The following is a 15,420-nucleotide window of genomic DNA, read 5'->3' on the forward strand; positions in this document are numbered from 1 at the left end:
ACCCACTAGTGCAGAAAAATGTATTCAGCACTCATAACAAAATAGAAATTAAAAAAGTTAAATAATTACATATCCATATAATAGAACAGTAGGTAGCCATTACGAAACCAAATCACCTGAACAGTTAATGAAATCAGATTTTTGTTTTGTTTTGTTTTTGTTTGTTTTTTGTTTTTGAGACAAGTTTCGCTCTTGTTGCCCAGGCTGGAGGGCAAAGGTGCGATCTCGGCTCACCGCAACCTCAGCCTCCCAGGTTCAAGCGATTCTCCTGCCTCAGCCTCTCAAGTAGCTAGGATTACAGATATGCGCCACCAGGCCCGGATAATTTTGTATTTTTAGTAGAGACGGGGTTTCTCCATGTTGGTCAGGCTGGTCTCAAACTCCTGACCTCAGGTGATCAACCCACCTCAGCCTCCCAAAGTGCTGGTATTACAGGTGTGAGCCACCATGCCCGGCCCAGATTATGTTATTTTAGTCATCACTGCTATAATTTCCTACTTGTTCTCACGAAGTAGGTTTTGTGGGTTTTTTAGGTTTTGTGTGTTTTTTGCTGTGTTTTTTTTTTTTTTTTTTTTTTTTTGAGACAGGGTCTGGCTCCATTGCCCAGGCTGGAGTGCAATAATACAATCTCAGTTCACTGACACCTCCACCTCCTAGGCTCAAGCCATTCTCCCACCTCAGCTCCCAAGTGACTGTGACTACAAGCACACACCATCATGCCTGGATAATTTTTGTATTTTTTGTAGAGACAGGGTTTTGCTGCTATGTTACCCAAGTTGGTCTCAAACTCCCAAGCTCAAGCAATCTACCTGCCTCAGCCCTCCACAAAGTGTTGTGATTAGAGGCATGAGCCAACATGCCAGCCAAGATTTAGGTCTTTCTTCAATGACAAAACAATGTTCATGGTAGAATGATTACGCTTTCAAAAAAACTAGAATATAAGATTATATACAAGCTAAATTTTATTTTATTTTATTTATTTTTTTTTTGAGATGGATTTTTACTCTTCTTCCCCAGGCCGGCATGCAATGAAGTCAGGAGTTCGAGACTGACCAGCCTGACCAACATGGAGAAACCCTGTCTCTACTGAAAATACAAAATTAGCCGGGTATGGTGGCGCATGCCTGTAATCCTAGCTACTCAGGAGGCTGAGATAGGAGAATTGCTTGAACCCGGGATGCAGAGGTTGCAGTGAGCCAAGATCGAGCCATTGCACTCCAGCCTGGGCAACAAGAGTGAAACGCTGTCTCAAAAAAAAAAAAAGTATGTGAGTGTACAGACACATTGATACACACACATATATAGCAATCATGTAACAGCATCTCTCAGTAGTGGAATTATGGATGATTTTTTATTAATCTTTTCTGTATTTTCTAAATTTTCTATAATAAACATATTGCTTTCATACTTTTTTGAATCAATATACATTTTTTAAAATCAACTAACTGATATCCAAAATGAGTTTAAAACTTGTTTTCTAATCTGGATTATCTGCTATTATCCTGGTCACAAGCATTTCACTGTTATCTAAGTATGGCAATTCTACATGCAAATTTGTCTTTTAGTTACTAATCCCAAATGAGCCATGACCGCCCAAAGTCAGAAGATCTACAGATAATGGCATCTCATTAACATTACCACCCAAAAGATGCAGAATAGTGTGTCTATTAGGATGAGCCATTTGTGTCTTAAATCTTTTTTTTTTTTTTTTTGAGACAGCATCTCACTCTGTCTCCCAGGCTGGACTGCAGTGGCACGATCTTGGCTCACTGCAACCCCCATCTCCCAAGTTCAAGCAATTCTCCTGCCTCAGCCTCCCAAGTAACTGGGATTACAGGCACATGCCACCTCACCCAGCTAATTTTTTTTGTATTTTTAGTAGAGACGGGGTTTCACCATGTTGCCCAGGCTGGTCTTGAACGCCTGACCTCAAGTGATCTGCCTACCTCGGCCTCCCAATGTGCTGGGATTACAGGCATGAGCCACTGCGCCTGGCCCGATATGTGTTAAAATTTTTTAAAGACATTTCTGTAATATATAGAAACTTATGAGCTGATATGTCCATACACTTTTTTTTTCAGTTCAATATAAGAAGCCAAAAGAAATAGTTATCTTTTTTGGTGGGGGAAGAAGTTTATAACTCCCTACTGTTTGATTTATGAACCATTTTTGTATTCTTTTTATATTTAACTTTTTTTTTAACCTTCTTGCTTTGTTTGCACTTACCATGGAGCACTTCGCCAGTACTTCCTCCTGGAATCTCAGGAATCCTTCCTGAACCTCAACTTCATTGAGGAAAAAGGCAAGGAAGTGAGTGAAGGGCTGCTTTCTTCGAAAAGTGTCCAAAAGAACATCAATCCGTGTTCGGGCTGAAATTACACCATTTCGATGCTGGCCAGTGATTACTGTAAACAAAGAAGAAAGGGTAAACTGCTCAAGGACCCCCAAATGCTTATAAAACAGGACCTCTTGATACTGTCACCTCTGAGGAGCTAAAGCAGTTCTGAATGCGTATATGAATCTAAACAGGGGACAATAACAAATATAAGAAAACTGCTAATTAATTCAATGTAAGCAGAATGAGGCTTAAAAATAGAATATCCTTGGCCGGGCACGGTGGCTCATTCCTGTAATCCCAGCACTTTGGGAGGCCGAGACAGGTGGATCACGAGGTCAGGAGATCGAGACCATCCTGGCTAACACAGTGAAACCCCACCTCTACTAAAAATACAAAAAATTAGCCAGCCTGGTGGCGGGCGCCTGTAGTCCCAGCTACTCGGAAGGCTAAGGCACGGATGGAGGGAACCCAGGAGGTGGAGCTTGCAGTGAGCCAAGATCGTGCTACTGCACTCCAGCCTGGGCAATAGAGCAAGACTCTATCTCAAAAAAAAAAAAAAAAAAAAAAAAAGAATATCCTTAAGACAGCTTATAAAGTAGAAAAATGAATTCAAGTACTACAAAGCAAACCCTTGCTAGTAGGAATGTAAAATGGTGTAGTCACTATGAAAAAGTTTGGTAATTCCTTAAAAAGTTGAACATAGCTGGGTGCAGTGGCTCACGCCTGTAATCCCAACACTTTGGGAGGCTGAGGTGGGCAGATCACTTGAGGTCAGGAGTTCAAGACCAGCCTGGCCAATATGGCAAAACCCCATCTCTACTAAAAATACAAAAATTAGCTGGGTGTGGTGTCACATGTCTGTAATCCCAGCTACTTGGGAAGCTGAGGCACAACAATGGCTTGAACTAGCAAGCTGGAAGTTCCAGTGAACTGAGATCACGCCACTGCACTCCAGCATGGGCAACAGAGCTAGACCCTGTCTCAAAATAAATAAATAAATAAATAAATAAATAAAGTTGAACATAGACTTACCATATAACCCAGAAATTCTACCCTTAGGGATACCCAAAATAAGTAAAAACCGAGAAAGAAAAAGGGAAGGGAAGGGAAGGGAAGGGGGAGCAGGGAAGGGGAGGGGAGGGGGGAGGGGGAACGAGGAAGGGAAGGGGAGGGGGGAGGGAGAGGGGAGGGGAGGGGGGAGGGAGAGGGGAGGGGAAGGGGGAGGGGACGGAACGGGTGAGGAGGGAGGGGAGGGGAGGGAAGGGAGCAGATGGAAGGGGTGAGGAGGGAGGGGAGGGGAGGGAAGGGAGCAGATGGAAGGGGTGAGGAGGGAGAGGAGGGGAGGGGAGGGAAGGGAGCAGATGGAAGGGGTGAGGAGGGAGGGGAGGGGAGGGGAGGGGAGGGGGAGGGGAGGAGAGGGGAGGGGAGGGGAGGGGAGGGGAGGGGGAGGGGAGGGAAGGGAAGGGAAGGGAAGGGAAGGGAAGGAAGGAAAGAAAAGAAAGAAAGAAGGCAAGGCATGCTCATGCCTGTAATCCCAGCACTCTGGGGCAAAGGCCAAGGCAGGAGGATTGCCTGAGGCCAGGAGTTCCAGACAGCCTAGGCAATTTACTGAAACTCTGTCTCTACAGTGGTTGGAGGTGGAGAAGCTTCTGATGTTCCATTGCCTGAGATTTCAAAACAGACAAGACCAGATCCTTGTCTAGAGGATTAAAAGCTACCAGATCATTTCCTTCTCTGATTTCTCTAATTTAGGAGACACAAAAGAAATGGGTAAATCAGAGCAAATATCACACGAATGCAACTGCAGACTTGACTTCACATCACAATTCAATTTACTCTAACCAATACATTTGGTTTTTCTATATACTTTACTTCTCTACAAGATCAATAAGCCAGTTTATTTATTTTATTTTCAAGAGAGTCTTGCTCTGTCACCCAGGCTGCAGTGCAGTGGTACAATCTCGGCTCACTGCAACCTCCGCCTCCCAGGTTCAAGCGATTCTCCTGCCTCAGCCTCCTGAGTAGCTGGGATTACAGGCACGTGCCACCACACCTGGCTAATTTTTGTATTCTTAGGAGAGACAGGGTTTCATCATGTTGGCCAGGCTGGTCTCAAAATCTTGACCTTGTGATCCACCCAACTTGGCCTCCCAAAATGCTAGGATTACAGGTGTGAGCCACCACACCCAGCTAATTTTGTATGTTTATTTTTATTTTTTGAGATGGAGTCTTGCTCTGTCGCCCAGGCTGGAGTGCAGTGGCACGATCTCGGCTCACTGCAACCTCCATCTCCCAGGTTCAAACAATTCTCCTGCCTCAGCCTCCCAAGTAGCTGGGAATACGGGTGTATGCCATCACACCCAGCTAATTTTTTTTTTTTTTTTTTTTTTTTTGAGACAGAGTCTCACTCTGTTTCCCAGGCTGGAGTGCAGTGGCACGATCTCGGCTCACTGCAACCTCCGCCTCCCGGGTTCAAGCAACTCTCCTGCCTCAGCCTCCTGAGTAGCTGGGATTACAGGTGTGCACCACCATGCCCTGCTAATTTTTGTATTTTCAGCAGAGACAGGGTTTCACCATGTTGGTCAGACTGGTCTCAAACTCCTGACTTTGTGATGTGCCCTCCTCGGCCTCCCAAAGTGCTGGGATTACAGGCGTGAGCCACTGGGCCTGGCCGGCTAATTTTTTGTATTTTTAGCAGAGACGGGATTTCACCGTGTTAGCCAGGATGGTCTCAATCTCCTGACCTCATGATCCGCCCACCCCGGCATGAGCTAACACGCCTGCCTAGTTTTTATTTTCTCTTCTTTGTTTTCTGTTTTTTTGTTTGTTTTGAGACAGTCTCGCTCTGTCACCCAGGAGGGAGTGCACTGGTGCGATTGGCTCACTGTAGCCTCGACTTTCCCAGATAAAAAGATCCTCCCACCTCAGCCTCCCAAGTAGCTGAGACTACAAGCATGTGCCACCACACCCAGCCAATTTTTGTATTTTTTTGTAGAGATGGGGTTTTGCCATGTTGCCCGGGCTGACCTTGAACACCTGGGCTCAAGTGATCCTCCCACCTAGGCCTCCCAAAGTGTTGGGATTACAGGCATGAGCCACCAAGCCCAGCCTGACACACTAGTTTTTCACACTGCAACATTTGTGCTAAGTTAAAATGGAGTCTTTATAGCCTGTCTACCCTTTTCTGGATAAGTTCTGGAATGAATCTAGTATATTAAAATGGCTAGGGTCTCCACATTTACACCACGTTATAATTTTACTGCAATAAAAAATATTATATAACTTACTACACAAATAGAAAAAATGGGGAACATATAACAAGTGTTAATAGCAATTATGTTTGGGGTTCGTATTATAAGAGACTTCCATGTATACCTTATATATAATTTCTGCAAGCTTTCTCTTTTTTGAAAGCATGTATTAATTTTATAATCAGAAAAAATTAGGGCTGGGCGCAGTGGCTCATACCTGTAATACCAGCACTTTGGGAGGCTGAGGCTGGCTGCACCTGAGGTCGGGAGTTGGAGACCAGCCTGATCAACATGGAGAAACCCCATCTCTACTAAAAGTACAAAAGTAGCCAGGCATGATGGCACATGTCTGTAATCCCAACTACTTGGTAGGCTGAGGCAGGAGAATCACTTGAAACCAGGAGGTGGAGGTTGCATTGAGCCAAGATTACACTAAGCCAAGATCATGCCAATGCACTCCAGCCTGGGCAACAAGAGCGAAACTCCATCTCAAAAAAAAAAAAAAATAGATGAAGTAACTTTTAATGCAATTATAAAATGACCTTGGTATTTGTAACTTGAATGTTAAAACTCAAGGAAAATAAAATTTTGCACTTATAATTCTAATAAACTGAATATTTACTTTAATAAAAGTCCTTCCAAATGCTGTTAAAAGTTCTAATGCTAGAGTTTGTTGACATTACCTAGAGAAAACTGTGTCACTGCACTGGCCAATATGGGAGCCCACATGCAGCTAGTTAGTTAAATTAATCAGAATTCAGTAAAAGTAAAAATTCAGAAAAAAAAATTCAGTTCCTTTCATACTAGCAATATCTCAAGTACTCAAAGTCATACGCATGACCAGTACCTGACACGTGCGGCTCCTGTGCTACACTGCATGGATATAGAACATTCTCATCAACACAGAAAGCTCTTTGGGACAGCACTGTTGTCCAAAAAGTCAATTGCTACTTATCTGCTGTCAAGGTGATTATTCTTTTGTGTGTGTGTGTATGACAGGGTCTCACTCTGTCACCCAGGCTGGAGTGTGGTGGCATGAACACAGTTCACTGCAGCCTGGAGCTCCTGGTCTCAAGTGATCCTCCCACCTCAATCTCCCACAGTGCTGGAAGTACAGGTATATGCCACTGTCCCCAGTCAAGGTGATTATTCTCACATAACATAAAATGAAAAAGAGTACTTATAATTTTTTATGCAAAAACAATACAATCTATGAACATTTATGGAAAATGGGGCTAGACGCAGTGACTCTTGTCTATAATCCCAGCACTTTGGGAGGCCAAGGAGGATCGCTCAAGCCCAGGAGTTCAAGGCCAGCCTGGGCAACATAGCAAGACCCCATCTCTACAAAAAGTATTAAAAATTAGCTGGGCATGGTGCTAAGCGCCTGTAGTCCCAGCTACTTGGAAGGCCGAGGGAAAAGTATTGCTTGAGCCCAGGAGTTCAAGGCTACAGTGAGCTATGATGGAGCCAATCAACTCTAGCCTGGGCGACATGCTCTTGCCTGTAACCCCAACACTTTGGGAGGCCAAGGCAGGCAGATCGCTTGAGCTCAGGAGTTCAAGACCAGCCTGAGCAATGTGGCAAAACCTTGTCTCTACAAAAAATACAAATAAATTAGCCAGGTGTGGTGGCGTGTTCCTGTAGACCCAGCTATGCAAGGCTGAGATGAGAGGATTGATTGAGTCCAGGAGGTAGAGTCTACACTGAGCTGTGATCATGCCACTACACTCCAGCCTGGGCAACAGAGACTCTGTCTCCAAAAATAAAATAAAATAAAATAAAGGACTAAAAGGCCGGGCATGGTGTCTCATGCCTGTAATTCCAGCACCTTGGAAGGCTGAGGCAGGCAGATCACTTCAAACCAAAAATTCAAGATCAGCCTGGGCAACATGGTGAAATCCTGTCTGGATAAAAAATAAATAAAAATTTTTAAATGAAAAAAGAAAAAGAAAATGGGTTAATGAATTATTGGAGGTTGCTGCACTCTTTGACTTTAAAAAAGTTCCATCGGCCAGACATGGTGCTCACGCCTGTAATCCCAGCACTTTAGAAGGCCAAGGTGGGTGGATCACTTGAGGCCAGAAGTTTGAGACCAGCCTGGCCAACATGGCGAAACCCTGTCTCTACCAAAAAATACAAAAATTAGCTGGGTTTGGTGGCACACACCTGTAGTCCCAGCTACTCGGGAGGCTGAGGCAGGAGAATCGCTTGAACCTGGGTAGCGGAGATTGCAGTGAGCTGAGATTGCACCTCAGCACTCCAGCCTGGGTAACACAGCAAGACTCTGTCTCAAAAAAAAAAAAAAAATTCCATCCTTCCAGAATGAGTTTACAGTTTTGTCCTAACAATGCCCCTCACTCAAAGCCATTGTACATACAACAAAAGCCTATGCCCTTGGTTTACACTGAGGCTTGGTACAGACACTTTCTAACTTGATTTATACTGCTAAACTATTTTTCCTTATCAGAACAGTTATTTGAGTCAAGTTATATTATTTTAATCATTACTCTTATAATTTCCTTCCTAGTCTACAAAATCAAGGGTAAAAAATTGAGAGCACAATGGAAAAGGCTGAACTTTATTTTATATTCACTGATCTCATTGATTTTCTCTAATTCTAATTGGAAACAATTCACAAATCCATTTCAAGTTACCAAAGCATGAAAAGAAATCTCCTAATACACAGTGAAATCTGGAAGCTTTATTCCATCAATGTATGGTAAAGTATAAAATTAAGGCCCAGGTACTCAATCAAGATAAGGTTATATAATTCCATCTTTCCTCATTTGGGAGACTGGTACTGATAAACCATAAAGACGCCCATAGCTGGCCGGGCACGGTGGCTCACGTCTATAATCCCAACACTTTGGGAGGCCGAGAGGGGAGGATCACCTGAGGTCAGGAGTTCGAGACCAGCCTGACCAACATGGAGAAACCCCGCCTCCACTAAAAATACAAAATTAGCCAGGCGTGGTGGCACATGCCTGTAATCCCAGCTACTAGGGAGGTTGAGGCAGGAGAATCGCTTGATTCCGGGAGGCGGAGGTTGCAGTGAGCCGAGATCACACCACTGCACTCTAGCCTGGGTAACAAGGGCAAAACTCCGTCTCAAAAAAAAAAAAAAAGAAAAGAAAAAGCCCATAGCTAGAACCCCACAGAAAACATAGTTACTAAACACTGCAGTTGGTTACATTATTCCATAAACATGCAAAAGTGACTTCAAATGTAACTTATATCTACTGAGTCTCACCAATTTCCCCGTCTTGTCCAGGTTTAGGAATGCTAATAGAAGTTTTGGTCTCCATTTCTATTTTCTTCCTAGTGTCCCCTCTCTTTCCAACTATATGCCTGTAACATAAAGTAATTAAAAGAAGATTAAGTCAAAATGTACCAAAATAAAGAACCTCATTATGTTTAAATCCTTTGTGACAAGAGATACTCCCTTACAGAAAAGTAGTTCAGTAAAAGCTCAATATTTGCGGAAGAAATTACAAGTCATCTAGCTTTAGAACATGCTGCAGTAAAGTCATTGGCAAAGATGAGTTTTTGGCCCTATAGCCAATTCAATGCAGAGATAGAAAAACCATGCCCAACACCCGTTTGCTTCTCAAAATGAGATTTAAAATCTGGGTCTGCAATAAAGTGAAAGAAAAGCTGGCCAGCAGGTGCAGTGGCTCACACCTGTAATCCCTGCTACTCAAAAGACTGAGGTGGGAGAACTGCTTGAGACCAGGAGTTTGAGACCAGCCTGGGCAACAGAGTAAGACCCCGTCTCTAAAAAAATATTTTAGGCTGGCGGCAGTGGCTCACGCCTGTAATCCCAGCACTCCAGGAGGCTGAGGTGGGCAGATTGCCTGAGGTCAAGAGTTCGAGACCAGCCTGGCCAACATGGCAAAACCCCATCTCTACAAAAATACAAAAATTAACTGGGTGTGACAGCAGGGTGCCTGTAATCCCAGCTACTTGGGAGGCTAAGGCAGGAGAATCACTTGAACCCGGGAGGTGGAGGTTGCAGTAAGCTGAGATCGCACCACTATACTCCAGCCTGGGCGACAAGAACGAGACTCTGCCTCAAAAAATAAATTTTTTTTTCAATTTTTTTCAATAGAAAAATTAGAATATCTGAGGACTCATGGCAACAGCGAGCTACAGCCAACTCTCGACTACCCCATGAAGACGGGACATGAGCTCACAATCCCCATCACTCCCACTTAAATCACTTATTGACTCATTTACATTACTTGCCTGGACTTCCAAGTATAAATATTCTGACAATCCAAAGTTATCTTCTGGAACCCACAGTCGTTTGATGTGTTCAAGTGAATGAGACTACCGAATCCCAAGAGAGAAGTTTCAGAGTCTATAAAGCACTAAGAGGCCATCACAGGGCTATCAAGTTAAGAACTCCTTGTCATCAACGTTATTTTAACCTCTATGACTTCAATTACAGTACCCAATTCTACGGATGACTATGTCTAAAACTATTCGTTAGTTTTTGCGTGGGATAAGAAAGCCCAATTACTTCCCTTAAGATCTATTATAGTAAGCCAGTTTTTAAAAATAAGATGTTTAGAGGAAGATTGGAAGTCTGTAATTTCCAAGTGGTTTTCCTGTGTGTTGGGATAGAGATTGTAGGGCACCAAACTCTGTGAGGTCTTTGTTTTCCCACCTTACCAATTAGGAGTGCTTTCTGTCAGGCTCCAGTTTGTTACTATGTGGCTAGTGAACAAGCCTATCACAAAAAGCAGTGGTTCAAAGTGCTATTAATAATCTAGGCTTCAGCACCTTAGAAAGCAAAGTGGTTGAGGTTTAAAAGGCTTTAGAATCAAACAAACCTTGGAATTCATATAACCACTGTAAGCCTACTTCTTCACTTATCAAAATGAAGTGAGAGGCTGACGCAGAAGGATCCCTTAAGCCCAGGAGTTCAAGGCTATGGTGAGCTATGATCACACAGTGGCACTCTGGCCTGGGTGACAAAGTGAGATCCTGTCTCTAAAAAAATAAAAATAGGCCAGGTGCAGTGGCTCATGCCTGTAATCCCATAATTTGGGAGGCAGAGGCGGGCAAATCACTTGAGGTCAGGAGTTCAAGACCAGCCTGGCCAACATGGCGAAACCCTGTCTCTACCAAAAATACAAAAATTAGCAAAGCCAGGCAAGGTGGCTCAATGCCGGGTGCGGTGGCTCACACCTGTAATCCCAGCACTTTGCGAGGCCGAGGTGGGGGGGATCACCTGAGGTGAGGAGATCGAGGCCAGCCTGGCCAACATGGTAAAACCCCATCTCCACTAAAAATACAAAAATTAGCCAGGCGTGGTGACAGGTACCTGTAATCCCAACTACTCGGGAGGCTGAGGCAGGAGATTGCTTGAACTCGGGAGGCAGAGGTTGCAGTGAGCCAAGATCACACCACTGCACTCCAGCCTGGGTGACAAGAGTGAAACTCCATCTCAAAAAAAAAAAAAAAAAATAGCAGGGTGTGGTGGCGGGCGCCTGTAATCCCAGCTACTTGGAAGGCTGAGCAGGAGAATTGCTTGAACCTGGGAGACAGGGGTTGCAGTAAGCAGAGATCGCACCACTGCATTCCAGCCTGGGCGACAGAGGGAGACTCCGTCTCAAAAAAATAACTAAATAAAATTAAATTAAATTTGGCTGGGGGTGGTGTCTCACGCCTGTAATCCCAGGGAGGCCAAGGTGGGTGGATCACCTGAGGTCAGGAGTTCAAGACCAGCCTGGCCAACGTGGTGAAACACCATCTCTACTAAAAATACAAAAATTACCCAGGCATGGTGGCAGATGCCTGTAATGCCAGTTACTCGGGAGGCTGAGGCGGGAGAATCACTTGGACCCAGGAGGCAGAGGTTGCAGTGAGCTGAGATTGTGCCATTCCACTCCAGCCTGGGTGACAGAGCGAGACTCTGTCTCAAAAACAAAAAAAAAAAGAGGCCAGGCATGGTGGCTCACGCCTGTAATCCCTGTGCTTTGGAAGGCTGAGGCGGGTGGATCACCTGAGGTCAGGAGTTGGAAACCAGCCTAACCAACATGGAGAAACCCCACCTCTACTAAAAATACAAAATTAGCCGGGCATGGTGGCGCATGCCTATAATCCCAGCTACTCGGGAGGCTGAGGCAGGATAATCTCTTGAACCTGGGAGGCAGAGGTTGTGGTGAGCCGAGATCATGCCATTGCACTCCAGCCTGGGCAACAAGAGCGAAACTCCCGTCTCAAAAAAAAATAAACATTAAATTAAATTAAAATGGAATGAATAATACCTATTTGTCATAAGGTTGTCGTAAGGATTAAATGTGATCATATATGAAAGAGCTTCCCAATAAGTGGCACAGAGCTCCATACAGTCCATGCTGTAGGGCAGATGCCCCTAACGTTAGTAGATTAAGCATACCGGGAGAAGGACCCTGACAGTAATAACTTAAGCCTACCTGAGAATCACCCTATGATCTAAAAGGAATTATGTGTTCAGAGTTCCAAACTACGGAATCCGGCTTGGATTCATTCCAACCCAGAGATTCATTCCTTTATCTATGAGGAACATCTGAATCCCTGACCCGTTTATGGAACCCAGGCCATACAGAGGATTGAGGCCCTTTGTTTTGGATTAAATAAAGGTTGCCAGGTGATGGCTGCTAGGGGCAGGGTGCTAAGTGGAAATGTTATATAAACTGTATGCTTTTTCCAAGCAGTTGAAGTTCTGTCCAGCCCACCACCACAGCACCACCCTTTATGCAAGTCCCCTCAATAAATCCTCTGTCTCATTTGCTGGCTCTGGGTCTCTTCCCCAGCCTCTCTAACATGGTGCCATCCCCATCAAAGTCAACAGGTGTGCGGCATGACATATGCTATCCTCATTAAACCTATACTGGCACCTTTTCAGTTAAAAGTATAACTGGACAGAAAAGAGGTTTACATGGAAAATCTAAAATACTCACTATAGGCCAGACACAGTGGTTCATGCCTGTAATCCCAGCACTTTGGGAGGCGAGGCAGGCAGATCACCTGAGGTCATGAGTTCAAGACCAGCCTGACCAACATGGCAAAACCCCGTCTCTAACAAAAACACAAAAAAATTAGCCAGGTGTGGTGGCGCATGCCTGTAGTCCCAGCTACTCGGGAGGCCGAAGCAGGAGAATCACTTAAACCAGGGAGGTAAAGATTGCAGTGAGCCCAGATCGTGCCACTGCACTCCAGCCCGAGTAACAGAGTGAGAATCCGTCTCAAAATAATAAAATAAATAAAATATTTGCTACAATAATACAAATAAGCAGTGACAAGGTGACTCCTTGGTTGAATACATAAGAGGAAATTCCTACCAGGTCAAGTGGTTCTCAGTCTTGGCTATACACTGGAATCACCTGGGGGGCTTCAAATAGTGATACCTGGGTCCTGCTCCCACAGACTCTGATTTAATCGGTCTGGGGTGCACCCAAGCCCTGGGATTTTCAGAAGTTCCCCAGATGATTCTCCTGTGCACCTGAGGCTAAGAACCACAGCATGAGACATAACCCATGGACAGGTGTTGACAATATTAGGCTCTGATTATAAATTAGTTTGGCCAGGTAATTTCTTTCTTGATCCAAATAAGCCTACAGAAATTATTCCCAAGAAAGAAATCTTAGTATTTTTTTTTTTTTTGACACAGGATATTGCTCTGTCGCCCAGGTGGAATTACATTGGCACAATCATAGCTCACTGTAACCTTGAACTTCTGGGCTCCAGCAATACTCCTGCCTCAACCTACCAAGTAGCTGAGACTACAAGCACTCACTACCACGCCTGGCTAATTTATTTTTTTTATTTTTATTTTTTGTTGTAGAAACAGGGTCTCACCATGTTGCCCAAGCTGGGTGGTCTCCAACTCATGGGCTCAAGCAATCCTCCCATCTTGGCCTCCCGAAGTGCTGGGATTACAGGTATGAGCCACCACACCCAGCCTTCCGAGTAAATATTACCTATTAATTAGGATTTATCAGACCCAATACCTAATTTAACATGCAAGTCACTTGACACATAATGAGTGCTTAGAATATAGAGAAATCAAAAGATTATCAAGTCAGAATCATGCAAGGAACTTTTACACACCTTAGCAACAGCAGATTCACACCAAGACCTGTTACACTGATTTTTTTTTTTTTTTTCCAGGAAACTGAGCCACAACTTTCTAAAATCATGTTTCTTAGGAAAAAATGTCACTAGAGCCTGATTTGGTCATATTCCAGGAGAATTTTATCTTTAATAGGTGTTTCAGAATGCTATCAAGGTGGATGAAATGAAAACATTTGTGGCCGGGTGCGGTGGCTCACGCCTGTAATCCCAACACTTTGGGAGGCCGAGGCAGGTGGATCACCTGAGGTCAGGAGGTCGAGACCAGCCTGGCCAACATGGTAAAACCCCACCTCTACTAAAAATACAAAAATTAGCCAGGTGTAGTAGTGCAGGCCTGTAGTTCCAGCTACTCAGGAAGCTGATGCAAGAAAATCGTTTGAACCAAAGGGGAGGAGGTTGCAGTGAGCCAAGATCATGCCACTGCACACCAGCCTGGGTGACAGAGTAAGACTCCATCTCAAAAAAAATGTGTGTGTGTGTGTGTTTGTGTGTGTGTGTGTGTAGAGACCAATAAGCAGGCTATTTTAAGTAATCCACAGAAAAGGCAGAGAGGTAGCAGTGAAGATACAGACAGCTGGTAGATTCAAAAGATATTTAACACACTTGTAATGCCAGCCCACTGGGAGGCCAAGGCGGGTGGACTGCTTGAGTTCCAGAGTTCAAGACCGGCCTGGGCAATATGGAGAAACCCTGTCTCTACCAAAAATACAAAAAATTAGCCAGGCATGGTGGCACACACCTGTAGTCCCAGCTATTTGGGGGGTTTAAGTGGGAGGATCACTTGAGCCCAGGAAGTCAAGGCTACAGTGAGCCGAGATCGCACCACTGCACTGCAGCCTGGGTAACAAAGCAAAGCCCTGTCTTTAAAAAAAAAAAAAAGAGATATTTAAAAGGTAATATGGGATATGGTAGTTGGGCACAGTGGCTCATCCCAACACTTTGGGAGACCAAGGTGGGAGGATCACTTTTGTCCAGGAGTTCAAGACCAGCCTGGGAAACATAGTAAAACCCCATCTCTACAAATAATTCAAAAAATTAGCCAGGCTTGGTGGTGTGTGCCGGTTCCAGCTACTTGGGAGGCTGAGGTGAAAGGATCACTTTACCCCGGGCAGTCAAGGCTGCAGTGAGCCAAGATTGTGCCACTGCACTCTAACCTGGCAACAGTGCGACACCCTGTCTCAAAAATACAATAATAAAAATAGGCTGGGTGCAGTGGCTCACACCTATAATTCCGGCACTTTGGGAAGCTGAGGCAGGTGGATCACCTGAGGTCAGTAGTTCGAGACCAGCCTAGCCAACATGGCGAAACCCCATCTCTACTAAAAATACAAAAATTAGCCAGGCATGGTGGTGGGCACCTATTATCCCAGCTACTCAGGAGGCTGAGGCAGGAGGATGGCTTGAACCCTGAGGGCGGAGGTTGCAGTGAGCCAAGATCGTCCCATTGCACTCCTGCCTAGGCGAAAGAGCGAAACTCTGTCTCAAAATAAATAAATAAATTAAATAAATTAAATAAAAGGTTATGTGGTTTGGATCTGTGTCCCTGCCAAATCTCATGTTGAAATGTAACCCTCAGTGTTGGAAGTGGGGCCTGGTGGCAGGTGTTTGGATCATGGGGGTGGATCCCTCATGATGGCTTAGCACCATCTCCTTGGCGATGAGTGAGCTCACACAAGATCTGGTTGTTTAAAAGTGTGTGACATC

The 15,420-nt window shown here is 44.6% G+C and overlaps 1 protein-coding gene across 38 annotated transcripts in view; it reads right to left on the reverse strand.

Annotated features, from left to right (window-relative positions):
• The window catches only part of ASCC1 (activating signal cointegrator 1 complex subunit 1), a 121,103-nt gene that overhangs the window by 98,553 nt on the left and 7,130 nt on the right, over positions 1-15,420 (reverse strand). For 37 of the 38 annotated variants that reach the window (NR_045564.1, XM_047425261.1, NM_001369099.1 and 34 more), the window contains 2 exons: positions 8,843-8,940; positions 2,227-2,405 (listed from right to left, as the gene is read on the reverse strand). Coding sequence is in view for 37 of the 38 variants with exons in the window: in XM_047425261.1 (XP_047281217.1) it covers positions 2,227-2,405; positions 8,843-8,940 (277 nt within the window). In the remaining variant the exon portion in view is untranslated. Of the gene's footprint in view, positions 1-2,226; positions 2,406-8,842; positions 8,941-9,837; positions 9,922-15,420 lie in introns of all 38 variants that reach the window. The other variant, NM_001198799.3, reaches the window with a different exon arrangement.

The sequence above is a fragment of the Homo sapiens genome, chromosome 10 (genome assembly GCF_000001405.40).
Source record: "Homo sapiens chromosome 10, GRCh38.p14 Primary Assembly".
Lineage (NCBI taxonomy): Eukaryota > Metazoa > Chordata > Mammalia > Primates > Hominidae > Homo > Homo sapiens.